The sequence below is a fragment of the Homo sapiens genome, chromosome X (genome assembly GCF_000001405.40).
Source record: "Homo sapiens chromosome X, GRCh38.p14 Primary Assembly".
NCBI classification, from domain to species: Eukaryota; Metazoa; Chordata; class Mammalia; order Primates; family Hominidae; genus Homo; species Homo sapiens.
This window is the reverse complement of record NC_000023.11, coordinates 94,688,345-94,706,811: the sequence shown is the minus strand read 5'-3', so window position 1 is coordinate 94,706,811 and position 18,467 is coordinate 94,688,345. Positions and strand designations below refer to the sequence as shown.

At 41.0% G+C, this 18,467-nt stretch overlaps 1 long non-coding RNA gene across 1 annotated transcript, besides 6 other annotated features; it reads left to right on the top strand.

Annotated features, from left to right (window-relative positions):
• Positions 285–1,279: an enhancer, noted in NCBI's record as "NANOG-H3K27ac hESC enhancer chrX:93960532-93961526 (GRCh37/hg19 assembly coordinates)". NCBI's record gives its function as "activates a minimal SCP1, AML or CMV promoter by ChIP-STARR-seq in primed H9 embryonic stem cells {active_cell/tissue: H9 hESC(primed)}" and the evidence as "EXISTENCE:reporter gene assay evidence [ECO:0000049][PMID:30033119]".
• Positions 1,280–2,275: an enhancer, noted in NCBI's record as "OCT4-NANOG-H3K27ac hESC enhancer chrX:93959536-93960531 (GRCh37/hg19 assembly coordinates)". NCBI's record gives its function as "activates a minimal SCP1, AML or CMV promoter by ChIP-STARR-seq in naive and primed H9 embryonic stem cells {active_cell/tissue: H9 hESC(naive and primed)}" and the evidence as "EXISTENCE:reporter gene assay evidence [ECO:0000049][PMID:30033119]".
• Positions 2,276–3,270: an enhancer, noted in NCBI's record as "OCT4-NANOG-H3K27ac-H3K4me1 hESC enhancer chrX:93958541-93959535 (GRCh37/hg19 assembly coordinates)". NCBI's record gives its function as "activates a minimal SCP1, AML or CMV promoter by ChIP-STARR-seq in naive and primed H9 embryonic stem cells {active_cell/tissue: H9 hESC(naive and primed)}" and the evidence as "EXISTENCE:reporter gene assay evidence [ECO:0000049][PMID:30033119]".
• On the top strand, positions 2,531–17,831 carry LOC107985647 (uncharacterized). Its single transcript, XR_001755988.2, has 3 exons — positions 2,531–4,805; positions 8,803–8,916; positions 13,811–17,831. It is a non-coding gene; the product is annotated as an uncharacterized LOC107985647 (long non-coding RNA).
• Positions 7,255–8,251: an enhancer, noted in NCBI's record as "OCT4-NANOG-H3K27ac hESC enhancer chrX:93953560-93954556 (GRCh37/hg19 assembly coordinates)". NCBI's record gives its function as "activates a minimal SCP1, AML or CMV promoter by ChIP-STARR-seq in naive and primed H9 embryonic stem cells {active_cell/tissue: H9 hESC(naive and primed)}" and the evidence as "EXISTENCE:reporter gene assay evidence [ECO:0000049][PMID:30033119]".
• Positions 9,093–9,606: an enhancer, noted in NCBI's record as "H3K27ac hESC enhancer chrX:93952205-93952718 (GRCh37/hg19 assembly coordinates)". NCBI's record gives its function as "activates a minimal SCP1, AML or CMV promoter by ChIP-STARR-seq in naive H9 embryonic stem cells {active_cell/tissue: H9 hESC(naive)}" and the evidence as "EXISTENCE:reporter gene assay evidence [ECO:0000049][PMID:30033119]".
• Positions 10,316–11,049: an enhancer, noted in NCBI's record as "OCT4-NANOG hESC enhancer chrX:93950762-93951495 (GRCh37/hg19 assembly coordinates)". NCBI's record gives its function as "activates a minimal SCP1, AML or CMV promoter by ChIP-STARR-seq in naive H9 embryonic stem cells {active_cell/tissue: H9 hESC(naive)}" and the evidence as "EXISTENCE:reporter gene assay evidence [ECO:0000049][PMID:30033119]".
• Positions 17,832–18,467: the final 636 nt, after the last annotated feature.

The window sequence follows — 18,467 nt, the reverse complement described above, 5'->3', positions numbered from 1 at the left end:
AGTTGTCCCACCTTTCTGGACCCAACAAATGTTCATCTTACATATGTTGATTGATATCTCATGTCTCTCTAAAATGTGTAAAACCAAGCTGTGCTCTGATCACCTTGGGCAGATGTCATCAGGACCTCCTGAGATTGTGTCAGGGGTGCGCATCCTCAACCTTGGCAAATAAACTTTCTAAATTAACTGAGACCTGTCTCAGATATTCAGGGGTCATACATGACTTTAAGATTTCAAATTATTGGAGAAAATTTTGAGACTAAAGTTACTAAATTAATCTTACCAATGATTACTACAGTCATGTGAACTGAAGTCTGTGAGCTAGCTTCTATTAATTTGATAAACACTTTTCTTTTAGCCAGTTAATTAGAGTTCTCTCATATGATTAATAGATGAACATCATTTCCACAACACACATATAACATATTGACATAGAAGACCCAGACAGAGGCAGATCTTATAGATTTAAAATATTTCGTTTGCCTATTTTCAAACATGTTCTAGCTCCTGCTACAGACTATTAATCTCTTGATTATCTGTCCCATGTCCTAAACAATTGTTAACTAGGCAACTCTAAATTTGCATCTCCAAAGACATGACTTAGGTTTAAAAAAAGGTAGAAAACGTACATCTCAAAGGCATAGACTTAGATGTAAACAAAAGTAAGGTCTATTATGTAAACTTTAAAACATTGTTTATTCCCTAGTTAAAATTTCTAGTGGTTTAGGTGCAGAGACACAGCTGCTTTACGAAAAAAAAAAAAAAAAAAAAAAGATTTTATTTAAAGATGAAAATTTTCCATACAAAGAGATTTATTTAAATGATTTAGTTTTATAGATGGTCTTTTCAACTTAGCTTTACTAGATTACTAACTTTAGGGTGAAGCCCTTTAAGAAACAGGGCCAACAAAGCATGCAGGTTTTAGGGCTTGCATAATGACGTTTTTATCTAAATGTTCAAATAAATGAGTTGTTCCTCGTAGTGTAGCAGAACGAGCCACAGACAAAACCTCTCAGACACCGAGTTGTAGAAGGAAGGGCTTTATTCAGCTGGGAGCATCAGCAAGCTACTGCCTTAAAATCCGAGCTCCCTGAGTGCACAATTTATGTCCCTTTTAAGGGCTCACAACACTAAAGATTTCACATGAAAGGGTCGTGATTGATTTGAGCAAGCAAGGGGTAGTGACAGGGGCTGCATGTACTGGTGGTCAGAGTGAAACAGAGCAGAGCAGGGAGTTTCACAATGTTCTTCCACACAATGCCTGAAATCTATGGGTAACATTGGGTTCTAAGTCATGAGTTGATTTTTAACTACTATGTTTAGGCGAGGCAGGCCCAGGCCTGGTTTTGGGCCTGGCACTGGGCTGACTGTCTTTGATTTCACTTCCTTGTTTTTTTTTTTCTTAAAACAGATACTGAGTATAAAACAATATAAAACAATATGAGAGAGTCTCTCTCTTCCCTCAGTAGTAATGGCCATTTTCTATAAATTTTGCTCAGCCATCCCTAACATTGTCATTCTCATCTGCCACTACACACACCAAGGTCAAATTTTGTAACAGTACAAAATAATCTCTAGTACCCACCAAAGCCAAAGAGATCAGGTAATGCAATATAAGAAAGCAGAACTTTAGACCTGAAAGAAATCTGCCATGACACTTGAAACTCCACAAAGAAAGCAGAATACTCTCTCTTTGTTAAGGGGTCTGATTCATTAGAAGCCTGTCAGGCCTCTGAGCCCAAGCCAAGCCATCACATCCCCTGTGTCTTGCACCTATACGCCCAGATGGCCTGAAGTAACTGAAGAATCACAAAAGAAGTGAATATGCCCTGCCCCACCTTAACTGATGACATTCCACCACAAAAGAAGTGTAAATGGCCGGTCCTTGCCTTAAGTGATGACATTACCTTGTGAAAGTCCTTTTCCTGGCTCATCCTGGCTCAAAAAGCACCCCCACTGAGCACCTTGCGACCCCGACTCCTGCCCGCCAGAGAACAAACCCCCTTTGACTGTAATTTTCCGTTACCTACCCAAATCCTATAAAACAGCCCCACCCTTATCTCCCTTCACTGACTCTCTTTTCGGACTCAGCCCGCCTGCACCCAGGTGAAATAAACAGCCTTGTTGCTCACACAAAGCCTGTTTGGTGGTCTCTTCACACGGACGCGCATGAAATTTGGTCCCAGTCAGGCCTCTGAGCCCAAGCCAAGCCATCGCATGCCCTGTGACTTGCACATGTATGCCCAGATGGCCTGAAGTAACTGAAGAATCACAAAAGAAGTGAATGTGCCCTGCCCCGCCTTAACTGATGACATTCCACCACAAAAGAAGTGAAAAAGGCCGGTCCTTGCCTTAAGTGATGACATTACCTTGTGAAAGTCCTTTTCCTGGCTCATCCTGGCTCAAAAAGCACCCCCACTGAGCACCTTGCGACCCCCACTCCTGCCTGCCAGAGAACAAACCCCCTTTGACTGTAATTTTCCTTTACCTACCCAAATCCTATAAAACAGCCCCACCCTTATCTCCCTTCACTGACTCTCTTTTCGGACTCAGCCCGCCTGCACCCAGGTGAAATAAACAGCCTTGTTGCTCACACAAAGCCTGTTTGGTGGTCTCTTCACACGGACATGCATTAAATTTGGTGCCGTGACTCAGATCAGGGGACCTCCCTTGGGAAATCAATCCCCTGTCCTCCTGCTCTTTGCTCCGTGAGAAAGATCCACCTACGACCTCAGGTCCTCAGACCAACCAGCCCAAGAAACATCTCACCAATTTCAAATCCAGTAAGCCGCCTCTTTTTACTCTCTTCTCCAACCTCCCTCACTATCCCTCAGCCTCTTTCTCCTTTCAATCTTGGTGCCACACTTCAATCTCTCCCTTCTTTTAATTTCAATTCCTTTCATTTTCTGGTAGAGACAAAGGAGACATGTTTTATCCCTGGACCCAAAACTCTGGCGCCGGTCACGGACTAGGGAAGGCAGCTTTCCCTTGGTGTTTAATCATTTCAGGGACACCTCTCTGATTATTTACCCAGGTTTCAGAGGTGTCAGACCACGCAGGGATGCCTGCCTTGGTCCTTCACCCTTAGTGGCAAGTCCTGCTTTTCTGGGGAAGGGGCAAGTACCCCAACCCCTTCTCTCCGTGTCTCTACCCCTTCTCTGCCTTTCTGGGGGGCAAGAAACCCCCAACCCTTTCTCCTTCACCCTGAGTGGCAAGTCCCACTTTTCTAGAGGAGGGGAAAGTACCCCAACCTCATATCTCTGCACCTCAATCCCTTATTTCCACACCCCAACCTATTATCTCTGTGCCCCAATCCCTTATTTCCATGCCCCAACCTCTTATCTCTGCACCACAATCCCTTATTTCCATGCCCCGACATCTTATGTCTCCACGCCCTGACCTCGTATCTCTGCACCCCGACCCCTTTCCTGCTTTTCTGGAGGGTAAGAACCCCTGAACCGCTTCCCTCCGTGTCTCTACTCTCCCTTTTCTTTAAACTTGCCTCCTTCACTATAGGCAACCTTCCACCCTCCATTCCTCCTTCTTCTCTCTTAGCCTGTGTTCTCAAAAACTTAAAACCTCTTCAACTCACACCTGACCTAAAACCTAAATGCCTTATTTTCTTCTGCAATGCCGCTTGACCCCAATACAAACTCAACAGTAGTTCCAAATAGCCGGAAAACAGCACTTTCAATTTTTCCATCCTGCAAGATCTAAATAATTCTTGTCGTAAAATGGGCAAACGGTCTGAGGTGCCTGACGTCCAGGCATTCTTTTACACATCGGTCCCTCCCCAGTCTCTGTGCCCAATGCAACTCATCCCAAATCTTCCTTCTTTCCCTCCCACCTGTCCCCTCAGTCCCAACCCCAAGCATCACTGAGTCTTTCTAATCTTCCTTTTCTACAGACCCATCTGACCTCTCCCCTCCTCCCCAGGCTGCTCCTCACCAGGCCGAGCTAGGTCCCAAGTCTTCCTCAGCCTCCGCTCCTCCACCCTATAATCCTTTTATCACCTCCTCTCCTCACACCCAGTCCGGTCCGGCTTACAGTTTCATTCCGTGACTAGCCCTCCCCCACCTGCCAGCAATTTACTCTTAAAAAGGTGGCTGGAGCTAAAGGCATAGTCAAGGTTATTGCTCCTTTTTCTTTATCCCAAATCAGATAGCGTTTAGGCTCTTTATCAATATAAAAATCCAGCCCAGTTCATAACTTGTTTGGCAGCAACCCTGAGACACTTTACAGCCCTAGACCCTAAAAGGTCAAAAGGCCGTCTTATTCTCAAAATACATTTTATTACCCAATCTGCTCCTGACATTAAATAAAACTCCAAAAATTAAATTCCAGCCCTCAAACCCCACAACAGGATTTAATTAACCTCGCCTTCAAGGTGTACAATAATAGAAAAAAGTTGCAATTCCTTGCCTCCACTGTGAGACAAACCCCAACCACATCTCTAGCACACAAGAACTTCCAAATGCCTGAACCGCAGCGGCCAGGCGTTCCTCCAGTACCGCCTCCCCCAGGAGCTTGCTACAAGTGCCAGAAATCTGGCCACCAGGCCAAGGAATGCCTGCAGCCCAGGATTCCTCCTAAGCCGCGTCCCATCTGTGCGAGACCCCACTGGAAATCGGACTGTCCAACTCACCTGGCAGCCACTCCCAGAGCCCCTGGAACTCTGGCCCAAGGCTCTCTGACTCCTTCCCAGATCTTCTTGGCTTAGCGGCTGAAGACTGACGCTGCCCAGTCGCCTCGGAAGCCCCCCTACATCATGGACGCTGAGCTTCAGATAACTCTCACAGTGGAAGGTAAGTCCGTTCCCTTCTTAATCAATACGGAGGCTACCCACTCCACATTACCTTCTTTTCAAAGGCCTGTTTCCCTCACCTCCATAACTGTTGTAGGTATTGACGGCAAGGCTTCTAAACCTCTTAAAACTTCCCAACTCTGGTGCCAACTTAGACAATACTCTTTTAAGCACTCCTTTTAGTTATCCCCACCTGCCCAGTTCCCTTATTAGGCGGAGACACTTTAACTAAATTATCTGCTTCCCTGACTATTCCTGGGCTACAGCCACACCTCATTGCTGCCCTTCTTCCCAATCCAAAGCCTCCTTTGTGTCCTCCTCTTGTATCCCCCCACCTTAACCCACAAATATAAGATACCTCTACTCCCTCCTTGGCGACCGATCATGCACCCCTTACCATCCCATTAAAACCTCATCACCCTTACCCCGCTCAATGCCAATATCCCATCCCACAGCATGCTTTGAAAGGATTAAAGCCTGTTATCACTCGCCTGCTACAGCATGGCCTTTTAAAGCCTATAAACTCTCCTTACAATTCCCCCATTTTACCTGTCCTAAAACCAGACAAGCCTTACAAGTTAGTTCAGGATCTGCGCCTTATCAACCAAATTGTTTTGCCTATCCACCCCGTGCTGCCAAACCCATATACTCTCCTATCCTCAATACCTGCCTCTACAACCCATTATTCTGTTCTAGATCTCAAACGTGCTTTCTTTACTATTCCTTTGCACCCTTAATCCCAGCCTCTCTTCGCTTTCACTTTGACTGACCCTGACACCCATCAAGCTCAGCAAATTACCTGGGCTGTACTGCCGCAAAGCTTCACAGACAGCCCCCATTACTTCAATCAAGCCCAAATTTCTTCCTCATCTGTTACCTGTCTCAGCATAATTCTCATAAAAACACACGTGCTCTCCCTACCAATCGTGTCCGACTGATCTCTCAAACCCCAGCACCTTCTACAAAACAACAACTCCTTTCCTTCCTAGGCCTGGTTAGCACGGTCAGAATTCTTACACAAGAGCCAGGACCACACCCTGTAGCCTTTCTGTCCAAACAACTTGACCTTACTGTTTTAGCCTAGCCCTCATGTCTGCGTGCAGCGGCTGCCACTGCATTAATACCTTTAGAGGCCCTCAAAATCACAAACTATGCTCAACTCACTCTCTACAGTTCTCATAACTTCCAAAATCTATTTTCTTCCTCATACCTGACACATACTTTCTTTTTCCCGGCTCCTTCAGCTATACTCACTCTTTGTTGAGTCTCCCACAATTACCATTGTTCCTGGCCCAGACTTCAATCTGGCCTCCCACATTATTCCTGATACCACACCTGACCCCCATGACTGTATCTCTCTGATCCACGTGACATTCACCCCATTTCCCCAAATTTCCTTCTTTCCTGTTCCTCACCCTGATCACGCTTGATTTATTGATGGCGGTTCCACCAGGCCTTATCGCCACACACCAGCAAAGGCAGGCTATGCTATGGTACAAGCCACTAGCCCACCTCTCAGAACCTCTCATTTCCTTTCCATCGTGGAAATCTATCCTCAAAGAAATAACTTCTCAGTGTTCCATCTGCTATTCTACTACTCCTCAAGGATTATTCAGGCCCCCTCCCTTCCCTACACATCAAGCTCAAGGATTTGCCCCAACCAGGACTGGCAAATTAGCTTTACTCAACATGCCCTGAGTCAGATAACTAAAATACCTCTTAGTCTAGGTAGATACTTTCACTGGATAGGTAGAGGCCTTTCCTACAGGGTCTGAGAAGTCCTCCTCAGTCATTTCTTCCCTTCTGTCAGACATAGTTCCTCAGTTTAGCCTTCCCACCTCAATGCAGTCTGATAACAGACCAGCCTTTATTAGTCAAATCAGCCAAGGAGTTTTTCAGGCTCTTAGTATTCAGTGAAACCTTTATATCCCTTACGGTCCTCCGTCTTCAAGAAAAGTAGAATGGACTAAAGGTCTTTTAAAAACACACCTCACCAAGCTCAGCCACCAACTTAAAAAGGACTGGACAATACTTTTACCACTTTCCCTTCTCAGAATTCAGGCCTGTCCTCGGAATGCTACAGGGTACAGCCCATTTAAGCTCCTGTATAGACGCTCCTTTTTATTAGGCCCCAGTCTCATTCCAGACACCAGACCAACTTAGACTGTGCCCCCAAAAAACTTGTCATCCCTACTATCTTCTGTCTAGTCATACTCCTATTCACCATTCTCAGCTACTCATACATGCCCTGCTCTTGTTTACACTGCCGGTTTACACTGTTTTTCCAAGCCATCACAGCTGATATCTCCTGGTGCTATCCCCAAACTGCCACTCTTAACTCTTGAAGTAAATAAATAATCTTTACTGGCAGGACTATGCTGAATCTCCTTAGGCACTCTCTAATCAGATACCCTAGGTCCTCCCAATTCTTAGACATTTTATACCTGTTTTTCTCCTCTGTTATTCCATTTAGTTTCTCAATTCATCCAAAACCGTATCCAGGCCATCACCAATCATTCTATACGACAAATGTTTCTTCTAACATTCCCACAATATCACCCCTTACCACAAGACCTCCCTTCAGCTTAATCTCTCCCACTTTAGGTTCACCTAATCCCGCTTGAAGCAGCCCTGAGAAACATTGCCCATTCTCTCTCCATACCACCCCCCAAAAATTTTCGCCACCCCAACACTTCAACACTATTTTATTTTTCTTATTAATATGAGAAGGCAGGAATGTCAGGCCTCTGAGCCCAAGCCAAGCCATCGCATCCCCTGTGACTTGCACCTATACGCCCAGATGGCCTGAAGTAACTGAAGAATCACAAAAGAAGTGAATATGCCCTGCCCCACCTTAACTGATGACATTCCACCACAAAAGAAGTGTAAATGGCCGGTCCTTGCCTTAAGTGATGACATTACCTTGTGAAAGTCCTTTTCCTGGCTCATACTGGCTCAAAAAGCACCCCCACTGAGCACCTTGCGACCCCGACTCCTGCCCGCCAGAGAACAAACCCCCTTTGACTGTAATTTTCCTTTACCTACCCAAATCCTATAAAACAGCCCCACCCTTATCTCCCTTCGCTGACTCTCTTTTCGGACTCAGCCCGCCTGCACCCAGGTGAAATAAACAGCCTTGTTGCTCACACAAAGCCTGTTTGGTGGTCTCTTCACACGGACGCGCATGAAAAAGCCTTTGCTAGATTTTTTGCTCACTTGGTACTGAAGATGAAAAAAGAGGTATGAGAAATAGAGTAAGAGAAAAATAAATAAAAACAAAATTTAAAGAAAACATAAAATGCAGTTTTTAAAAACATTTTTTTTCGGCAGTTGTGGGGAATTTTAGCAAATTCAGAAGCCTCGTTTTCCATAAATTGGAATTCTCACTCACATTTGACTAAGTCAAGTAGGGTTTGTCAAACCTGATGAGCGAAATACTTGTGAAAAAATAAATAAATCTTGGGATCCTCAAATCACTAAGCCAAAAGAAAAGTCAAGCTGGAAACTATGTCAGGTAAAACCGCCTCCCATTTTATTTCTTAATAAAATAGCTACAGAGATAAGAAGCTACATATCTCCCTCACAATTTGCCCACAAGGAAATTCCTTGTGGACAAAGTGTTCCCAGAATAAGCTTGATCTGGCTGCGTGTCCTCACAACCCAATAACGAGAAGTAGACAAATTGGGAAAGAAAGGAGTTTATTGCTGTAACTGGTTATAGAGAGAAGGTCAGAGATAGTTTCAACAGACCAACTCAAAGTGCTACAATTTCCTTAGTGCTTATATAGGTTGGGGTTATGTGCTTACCCACAGCATTGCATTCGCCTAAGTTTATAGGTAACTAATTTTGTTTTAACTAGAAGGTCAGCGGCCAAAAATGCTTTTTAAGTCTGATCAAGCTGTGAGGGTCCTGGTATTTTAAAGGTCTGTCTCCTAAAGTCTAATTAATGAGGACTGTGGTACCGGAGTGATTAATTTCTATCTTACCTTGTTTGCAGTTTGGTCCAGAGAGCTGCCTTAGACTCCCCAGTAAATCTATTCAAACAGCTGCCTCTGTTACCTTGACTCGTCTCAGATGTCATCGACCTGAGATGGCTCCTGGCGCAAGGAAGGTAAGGCTGTCTCCATTATTTTGGCACAAGGAATGTAAGCTGTGTCCATTATTTTGACTTGCTCCAGGTTAGGGAGAAGCCTGTGCAAGGCTCCTACTGACCACATGTTTCATTTCTAGCTTTGATGTCTGGGCATTTATCTCCCTTAGTTTAATTATTTGCTCAATGTTAAGACAGCGCTGTGAAAATTTGTTGGTGTCACTGGGTTGCTATGCAGGCCTGTCTGTGTGACTGTCATGCAGGCCTGTCTGTGTGATTGTCAGGAAGTATTGGCCTGCCGCAAAAGGACAGACAGAACTCAAAGTCACCATCCTCAGGCTCACCTGAGACAAACACATATCTGATTCCTCTCTTTCCCCTAATGTTTATGTAAAGATGCAGATTCACTGAGCCAGACTAAATTGCGTATTCAGTGGAAGGCTTACCAAGGACTCAAAAGAGTGCAATGCTTATCTACTTCTACCCTGGAAGCCCCTACTTCAAGTTGTCCCACCTTACTGGACCAAGCCATTGTACTTCTTACACATATTGATTGATGTCACATGTCTCCCTAAAATTTACAAAAGCAAATTGTACCCCCGACCACCTTGAACACATATTGTCACGACTCCCTGAAGCTGTGTCATAGGTGCATCCTTAACCTTGACAAAAGAGACTTTTTAAATGGACTGAGACCTGTCACCAATTTTTGGGTTAACATACTAAAACATAACAAAAACAGAACAAAAAGTATGATTCCTGAGCACTCTAATAATAAGAAATTAAGACCAGCTGTCTGTCAATCTTAAATTTCAGACATTAAGGGAAATTTTCAAGACAAAATTCCAATTCAGCTACTTACCTAAGAATGAAGCCCTGGCTGAAGACTGCTCTATACAATCTTAGAAGCAGGAAAAATTCAAACTCTCCATTCCTGTTGGAAGTGAGCTGAAACTTCAAAAAAGAGTTGCCATCCATCATCATAGAAGCAGGAAAATTCATCTTCCTTGTTGAAAATAAGTGAAACTCCAGAAAATGTGTTATATAGCAAAATAAGCCTTATATATCAACAAAAATTTGGAAGATCAGGAATTCTCTGGAGGAGAGAGCTCCTAAATTTCAGCAAATAGTCCTATTGGTTTGAGAAATAAAGATATTCCAAGCTAGTACCAAGCACCAATAGATTTGTCAAAGGTCAAGGCAACCTCCATTCAGTCTCTTCTATTGGTTGCCAATTTGTAAACCAGAAAGTATATGAGATGGGTCTCAATCAATTTGAAAATTTATTTTGCCAGGGTTAGGGACATGCCCAGAATAAGAAACATGTAATCACAGAAACAATCTTTGGTCTGTGCCTTTCTCCAAAGATGAATTTGAGAGCTTCAATATTTAGGAGAAAAAAGTAAGCTGGAGGAGAAAGAAGAAGAGTATGGTAATCCACATGATGAAAGGGAAAAGAAACAGGTAGAGGAATAGTAAATTATGTATATCTCAAACTCAGTAAATCAGCACTTTACGTAAGATACAGTGAACACAGAGTAGCAACCTGTGGAGACATTTAACCTTTTATCTGTAGGTATCTGCTTAGGAACAAAATGAAGGCAGTTAATTGGATGACTCAGCTTTCAGTGTATTTTTTTTTTCTAACTTTGGCATAGTTAATTGGGGTCCTGAGTTTTTATTTTTTTGTCAGAGCATAGATTTCAGTCCAGATCTAGAGGCCTGAAAACCAGAAGCCCTGAGGGTATGGAATTTCAGGTAGAGTCAGCAGTCAGGTAGAGTGCTAATTCAACCTTCTTCCTTTTTGTACTATTTAGTCCTTAAACAGATTAATGATGGCCCTCTGCTTTGCTTAGTCCAGCAATTCAAATGTTAATTTTACTCGGAAACACCTGCAGAGACATTCCCAGCAATAATGTTTCATGTGCTATTCGGGCATCCCATCAGCCAGTCAAGCTGACACGTAAAATTAGCCATCAAATCAGATATATTGGACTAGATCCTAGCCATGTGACCTCACTTAATCTTAATTATCTATTTAAGGAGCCTATTTCCACACACAATCATATTTTAAATGGGTACTGGGTAATGAGACTTCAGCATACGAATTTTAGAATGACACGATTTACTCCATAACAATTGAAGATTTTAACATCGTTCTAGTAGTAATTGACAGATTTATCAGGCAAAAAGATTGCAAGGATATAGTTGAACTAATAGCCTTATCAATCAAGTGGATGCATTTGACATGTATAGGATTTTGTTATCCAACAATAGCAAAAATACATTTATCTCAAGCCACACGGAACATTCAGCAAGAGAGACCACATTTTGGGTCAAAAATCACCAGGTATGCAAGATAATTCAACATTTAAAAAGCAATCAAATTTAGTCAACTGATCTTTGACAAAAAAGAAAAGGTAATTCAGTGGAGAAAGCATAGTCTCCAACAATTGCTGCTGGAACAACAGAATGTCCTTATGCAATAAAATGAATATTTTATTTTCACCTGAGTTTCAGGTGATTACTTACACCTGAGTTTCAGGGACAAAATAAACCTTAGATATCAACAAAACATTCAGGGACGAGAAACTCAGGTGTAAGTACTGTCTAGAGCCAGGGAGTGTCGCTCCCAGCAAAAGAGCCCAAAATATCAAGTAAATTAACCCATACTTTGTGCAGATCATTGGAGAGAAAACAAAGAGTTTATAGAAAGGTGACGCAGACGCTGAGGCTGAAGAGAAAGGAGGCTTGGAACCCTGCATGGGTTTACCAAATGCTAGGGCTAGTTCCAGGCTTTGAATGGCTGCAATTCAAAAAGCCAGAGTGTCTTCCCACTTTCAAATCAGTCGTTTAGTTTCCAGAGGTATGGAGGATGGAGCTGATTGAAATTACTTAAATAAAAGACATAGAATTTAGAAGCTGGAGTGCAAGGAAGCTTATCAAGATTCAGGAGAAAGTTAAAAGCCAGTCCAGGAAATCCAAGGAAGTGAATAAAATGACACAGGATCTAAAAGGAAAAAAATAGCCATATTAGAAAAGAACCAAAGTGAACTTCTAGAACTAAAAAAATCACTACAAAAATTTTGTAATACAATCAGAACTATTAACAGCAGAATAGACCAAGCTGAGGAAAGAATCTCAGTGCTCACAGATTGATTAATCAAATAAACTCAGTCAGACAAAAATGAAAAATAAATTCTAATAAACAAAACTGAAGTGAAATATAGGATTAAGTAAAGGACAAAAACTATGTCTCATTGGCATTTCTGAGAAAAAAGAGAAAGTAAGGAACTTTGAAAAAATACGTTTGAGGATATAGTCCATGAAAATATCTTCAGTCTTGCTAAAGAGTTTGACATACAAAGTCAACAAACACGGAAAACCCCTGCAAGATAATGTACAACCAAATCACCCCCCAGGCATATAGTCATCAGACTGATAAAGGTCAAAGTGAGAGAAAAACTCTTAAAGGCAGCTACATAGAAGGATCAGGTCACATAAAAAGACAACCCCATCAGGCTAGCAGTGGATATCTCAGAAGAAATCTTACAGGCCAGAAGAAATTAAGGGCCTATTTTCAGCATCCCTAAAAACAGAAATTCCAACCAAGAATTTCGTATCCTGAAAAATAAAGCTTCATGAGTGAAAGAGACCTAAAATCCTTTTCAGGGATGCAAATGCTAAGGAAATTAGACCAGCCTTACAAGAGGTCCTTAAGGGAGTGCTAAACATGGAAACAAAATAACATCTGCTACCACAGAAACACACTTCAGCACATAATCTAAAGACACTATAAACAACTACACAATTAAGTCTACAAAACAACCAGCTAACAACACAAAGACAGGATAAAAATTTTACATGTCAATGCTAACTTTGATTGTAGATCATCTAAATGTCCCACATAAAAGACACAGAGTGGCAAGTTGAATAAAATGACAAGCCTCAACCCTTTACTGCCTTCAAAAGGCCCATCTCACATGTAATGACATCCACAGTCTCAAAGTAAAACAGATGGAGAAAAATCTATCATGCAAATGAAAAACAAGAGCAAGAGTTGCTATTCTTATATCAGAAAAAAATAGGCTTTGAACACAAAATAATTAAAAAAGGAGGAAAAGGGAAATTACATAATGGTAAAGGGTTCAATTCATCAAGAAGAGTTAACTATTCTAAATGTATATTCACCCAATATTGGAGCACACAGATTCATTTTAAAAAAAGTTCTTTTTAACCTGTAAGAATATTTAGACAGATGCACTATAGTAGTGGGAAATTTCAACACCCTACTGACAGTATTAGACAGAGCTTGAGACAGAAAACTAACAAAGATATTCTAGATTTAATCTCGATCCTTGACCATTTATACATAATAGACATCTAGAATATTCCATCCAACAACCACAGAAAAATATTCTTCTCATTAGCACATGGAACTTATAGTAAGATTTAACGTAGGCTTGATCATAAAGCAAGTTTCAGTAAACTAAAAAAATGTAAATTATACTAAGCACAATCTTGGACTACAATGTAATAAAAATAGAAAAAAAATCAAGATATCTCAAAACTACACAAATACATAAAATTTAAACAACTTTCTCCTGAATAAACTGCTAAATGAACGATGAAATTAAGGCATGAAGAAAAAAATTAAAATTAATGAAAATAGTGGAAAAACTTACCAAAATTTGTGGGTTGCAGCTAAAGCAATATTAACAGGAAAGTTTATAGCACTGAATGGCTTAATCAGGAAGTTAGAAAAATCTCAAATTAGCAATTTAACATTGAGCATACAGGCATTGAGAAAAAAGAAATAACAAACCCCAAAGCTAGCAGAAGAAAATAAATGTAAACCACAAATAAAATTCTAAGGCATATCTACCATCTGAATGGACCCCTCCTCTTATCCAAGGGCATTCCAGAGTCAACCTAAAAATCAAGTTCAGGCCATGATGGAAGAGACGGAGTTGGACATGCCTCATTATTCCCTACTGCCTTTTGGAACTCAGGAAAAGCTGATCAGCATTAACATCAACACAGACCTTAGTCTGATAAGAAGCATTTATAATCTATTGTCTCTGAAACTTGCTATTTGGTGGCTTCGTCTGCATCATAAAACTATCTCCAAAAACCCTCATTTTAACCTAGACATTCTTTTCTATTGATATAACTCTTTCAACCAATTGCCAATCAGAAAAGTTTTAAATCTGTTTATGACCTGGAAGCCCCCACTTTGAATTGTTCCACACTTCCAGATCAAGCCAATGTAAATCTTATATGCATTGATTGATGCATTATGTCTCCCTAAAATGTACAAAAAGCTAGCTGTACCCTGACCCCATTGGGCACATGTCATCAGGACCTCCTGAGGCTGTTTCACAGGCATGTCTTTAACCTTGGTAAAATAAACTTTCTAAATTAAGAACAACCTCAAATATTTTATATATATATATTTAGAGGGAGTCTTGATCTCTTGATCGATCACCCAGTCTTGAGGGCAGTGGCGTGATCACGGCTCACTGCAACATCTGCCTTCAGGCTCAAGTGATCCTTCTGCCTCAGCCTCCCAAGTAGCTGGGACTATAGGCACATGCCACCATGCCTGGCTAATTTTTGCATTTTTTTGTAGAGATGGGGTCTCAGTATGTTGCCCAGGCTGGTCTCAAACTCCTAAGCTCAAGCAATTTACCTGCTTGACCTTCCAAAGTGCTGGGATTACAGATGTGAGCCATCATGCCTGACCTTTCTCAGATATTTTAGGTTCACAAATTGGAAACCATGAAGGGATTCTGAGTGGAGGTGCCCCTGACTTTAGACAAATCTCCTATCGGTGCTTCGTATTAGGTTTAGCTACTTTTTTGGCTCAAACCAATAGGACAATTTGCAGACACCTGGGTGCTCCCCCTCACTACTCCAGAGAATCCCTGATCTCCCAAAATTTGGTTGAGATATAAAGTTTATTTTGTTGCACACCTTCTTTTCAAGACATATAGGAAACAGATTATCTAAGAATGACCCCTTCACACACCTATTTTGTTTTACGGTGCCTCTCCTTGCAAGTGGTTGTGTAAATGAAAGAACATGTCACATCTTCTAATATTCCAGTTTAGTTAAACATTACGTCTGTTCTTGTGCACATTTTAAACTAACAGGGAAATCACATCAAGGAAAATTCAGAGCCTAAAAGTTGACCTGCAACTATAAAGTTTCTAAGTTCTCTGTCAATCTCTCTGTTTTCTTTTCTTCCTGCTTTTTACGTCTCCTGTTAATTTTCTATTAGATAAAATCCACTGTTTACATCCAAATGTTTCTTTTCATTATTTGCTTCTGCAAACCAGTGAGTTTGTATTAATACTTTATGGCTAGAGTTCTGAAGTAAAAGCTATAAGATTTTTGTTTGTATAACTGTGTATGTGTGTATTTATGTGTATGTATTGTATTAGTCCATTTTCACACTGCTGATAAAGACATACCGGAGACTGAGTAATTTACAAAATAAAGAGGTTTAATAGACACATGTAGAACATGGCTGGGGAGGCCTAACAATCATGGTGGAAAGCAAGGAGGAACAAGTCACATCTTACATGGATGATGGCAGGCAAAGAGAGAGAGCTTGTGCAGGGAAACTCCCACTTATAAAACCATCAGATCTTGTGAGATTTATTCACTATCATGAGAACAGCACAGAAAAGACTTCATGATTCAATTACTTCCCACCAGATTCCTTTAACAACACATGGGAATTTGAGATGAGACTTGGGTGGGGACACAGCCAAACCATATTATTCTGCCCCTTGCCCCTCCCAAATCTCATTTCCTCACATGTCAAAACCAGTCATGTTTCCCCAACAGTCCCCCAAAGTCTCAACTCATTTCAGTATTAGCTCAAAAGCCCATAGTCCAATGTTGCATCTGAGACAAGGCAAATCACTTCTGCCTATGAGTCTGTAAAATCAAAAGCAAGTTAGCTACTTCCTAGCTACAAAGGGGGTACAGGTATTGGGTAAATACACCCATTCCATATTAAAGAAATTGGCCAAAACAAAAAGGCTACAGGCCCCATGCCAGTCTGAAATCCAGCAGGTCAGTTAAATTTTAAGGCTCCAAAATGATCTCCTTTGACTCCAGGTCTCATATCCAGGCCACACAGGCACAAAAGGTGGGTCTCCATGGTCTTGGGCAGCTCTGCCTATGTGGCTTTGCAAGGTGCAGTCTCCCTTCTGGCTGCCTTCACAGGCTGTCATTGAGTGTCTGTGGCTTTTTCAGGCACACAGTGCAAGCCATCAGTTGATCTAACATTCTGGGATCTGGAGGACTGGAGGATGGTGACTCTCTTCTCACAGATCCACTAGGTGGTGCCCCAATAGGGACACTGTGTGGGGGCTCCAACCCATTTCTATTCTGCACTGCCCTAGCAGAGATTCTCTATGAGGTCCCTGACCCTGCAGCAAACTTCTGCCTGGACATCCTGGCATTTCCATACATCTTCTGAAATCCATGTGGAGGTCCCCAAACCCCACTTCTTGACTTGTGTACACTCACAGGCTCAACGCCACATGGAAGCTGCCAAGGCTTGGTGCTTGCACCCTCTGAAGCCATGGCCTGAACTCTAGTTTGGCCCCTTTTAGCCATTGCTGGAGTGGCTGAGACATAGGACAGCAAGTCCATGGACTGCACACAGCACGGGGATCCTGGGTTCAGGCAACAAAACCACTGTCTCCTACTAGGCCTCCAGGCCTGTGATGGAAGGGTCTCCATGAATACCTCTGACATGCCCTGGAGGCATTTTTCCCGTTGTCTTGGGGATTAACATTTGCCTCCTCATTACTTATGCAAATTTCTGCAGCTGGCTTGAATTTCTCCTCAGAAAATGGGATTTTCTTTTCTATTGTATTGTCAGGCTGCAAATTTTCTCAACTTTTATGCTCTGCTTCCCTTATAAAACTGAATGCCTTTAACAGCACCCAAGTCACATCTTGAATCCTTTACTGCTTAGGCATTTCTTCTACCAGATACCCTAAATCATCTCTCTCAAGTCTGAAGTTCCACAAATCTTTAGGGCAGGGTCAAAATGCCACCACTCTCTTTGCTAAAACATAACAAGAGTCACCTTTGCTCCAGTTCCCAACAAGTTTCTTATTTCCACCTGAGACCACCTCAGCCTGGACTTTAATATCCGTATCACTAACAGCATTTTGGCCAAAGCCATTCAACAAGTCTCTAGGAAGTTCCAAACTTTTATTGTCTTCTGAGCCCCACAAGCTGTTCTAACTTCTGCCTGTTACCCAGTTCCAAAGTTTCTTTGACATTTGAAGGTATCTTTTCAGCAGCTCACCCTCTACTGGTACCAACTTACTGTATTAGTGCATTTTCACACTGCTGATAAAGCCATATTGAGACTGGGCAATTTACAAAAGAAAGAGATTTAGTGGACTTACAGTTTCACATGGCTGGGGAGGCCTCACAATTATGGTGGAAGACAAGGAGGAGCAAGTCACATCTTATGTGGATGGCACCAGGCAAAAAGGGAGAGTTTGTGCAGGGAAATTTGGGTGGGGACACGGCCAAACTGTATCACGTATGCCTATTTTGTTATGTGTTTTTGACTACAAGGTACCAAGTTGACTTAAAGAGTACTCATAAATTAAATAAAAAGCCAAACTGCTTTTCAAGTTCATGTGACTTAAGTAAACTCTAATAAATTAGTTGGCTTTAAAATCATTGGTAAAGTAATATTAGAGATGTTTCAAGAATTGTCAGCCTACATTTCTGTTTGCATTATTGATCAAGTGATTTTATACTTATCCCTGCCAAATACTATAAGGTGTCAAAATTTGCCATAAGGGTTAAAAACTATAAACCCAGCCAAAAACAGAATGACTTTTGCTTGTATAATTTTTTGATAAATAAAACATTAATATTGTTGGTTTAATGGAAAGAGCTAAAGTTTGAATTATTGGTAAAGTAACCATATCTTTAATCTTAAGATTCTTATGTAAAAACCTGAAATTTGCAGGACTTAAAAATGGTTGACAGGTAAATAATTTTAAATGACGACTATCACATTTTTTATAAATAATCTAGGTAAACTATCAAATAAAATAATTAGGTAACTGTAATGGAATGAATACTTGCAAACCAAGTTTTCATAATTAAGAATTTAAAGTTATAATAGATGAATAATAAATATTTCATTACATTTCTAAATATTTTACAATTTAAAAAAATTACAGGAAAATTCTAAAAAATGTGTTCTTACTAAAAAGTAAATTGTTTTTGTGTAATTAAAACTCATTTAAAGGTTATGTGTAAAACAAGGTAAAAAGAACAAGAAAATAAAATACAGGTAAAGAAAGTTATAAAATCAAGAGTTATTTTTAGTTAGAAAGTTTAAAAAAGTAATTTTATATTAAAAGTAATTGTATGGTGAATTTTTGGCTTAAAATAAAATTAGTTTCTTAAGAAAGAGAACATTTAGAAAAAACCTGAAAGTCCAAGCATGCTATGAATAATCTGATTTATAATAAAATTAGTAAAAAAAAATTATAAAAATGTTATGTAATTGACAA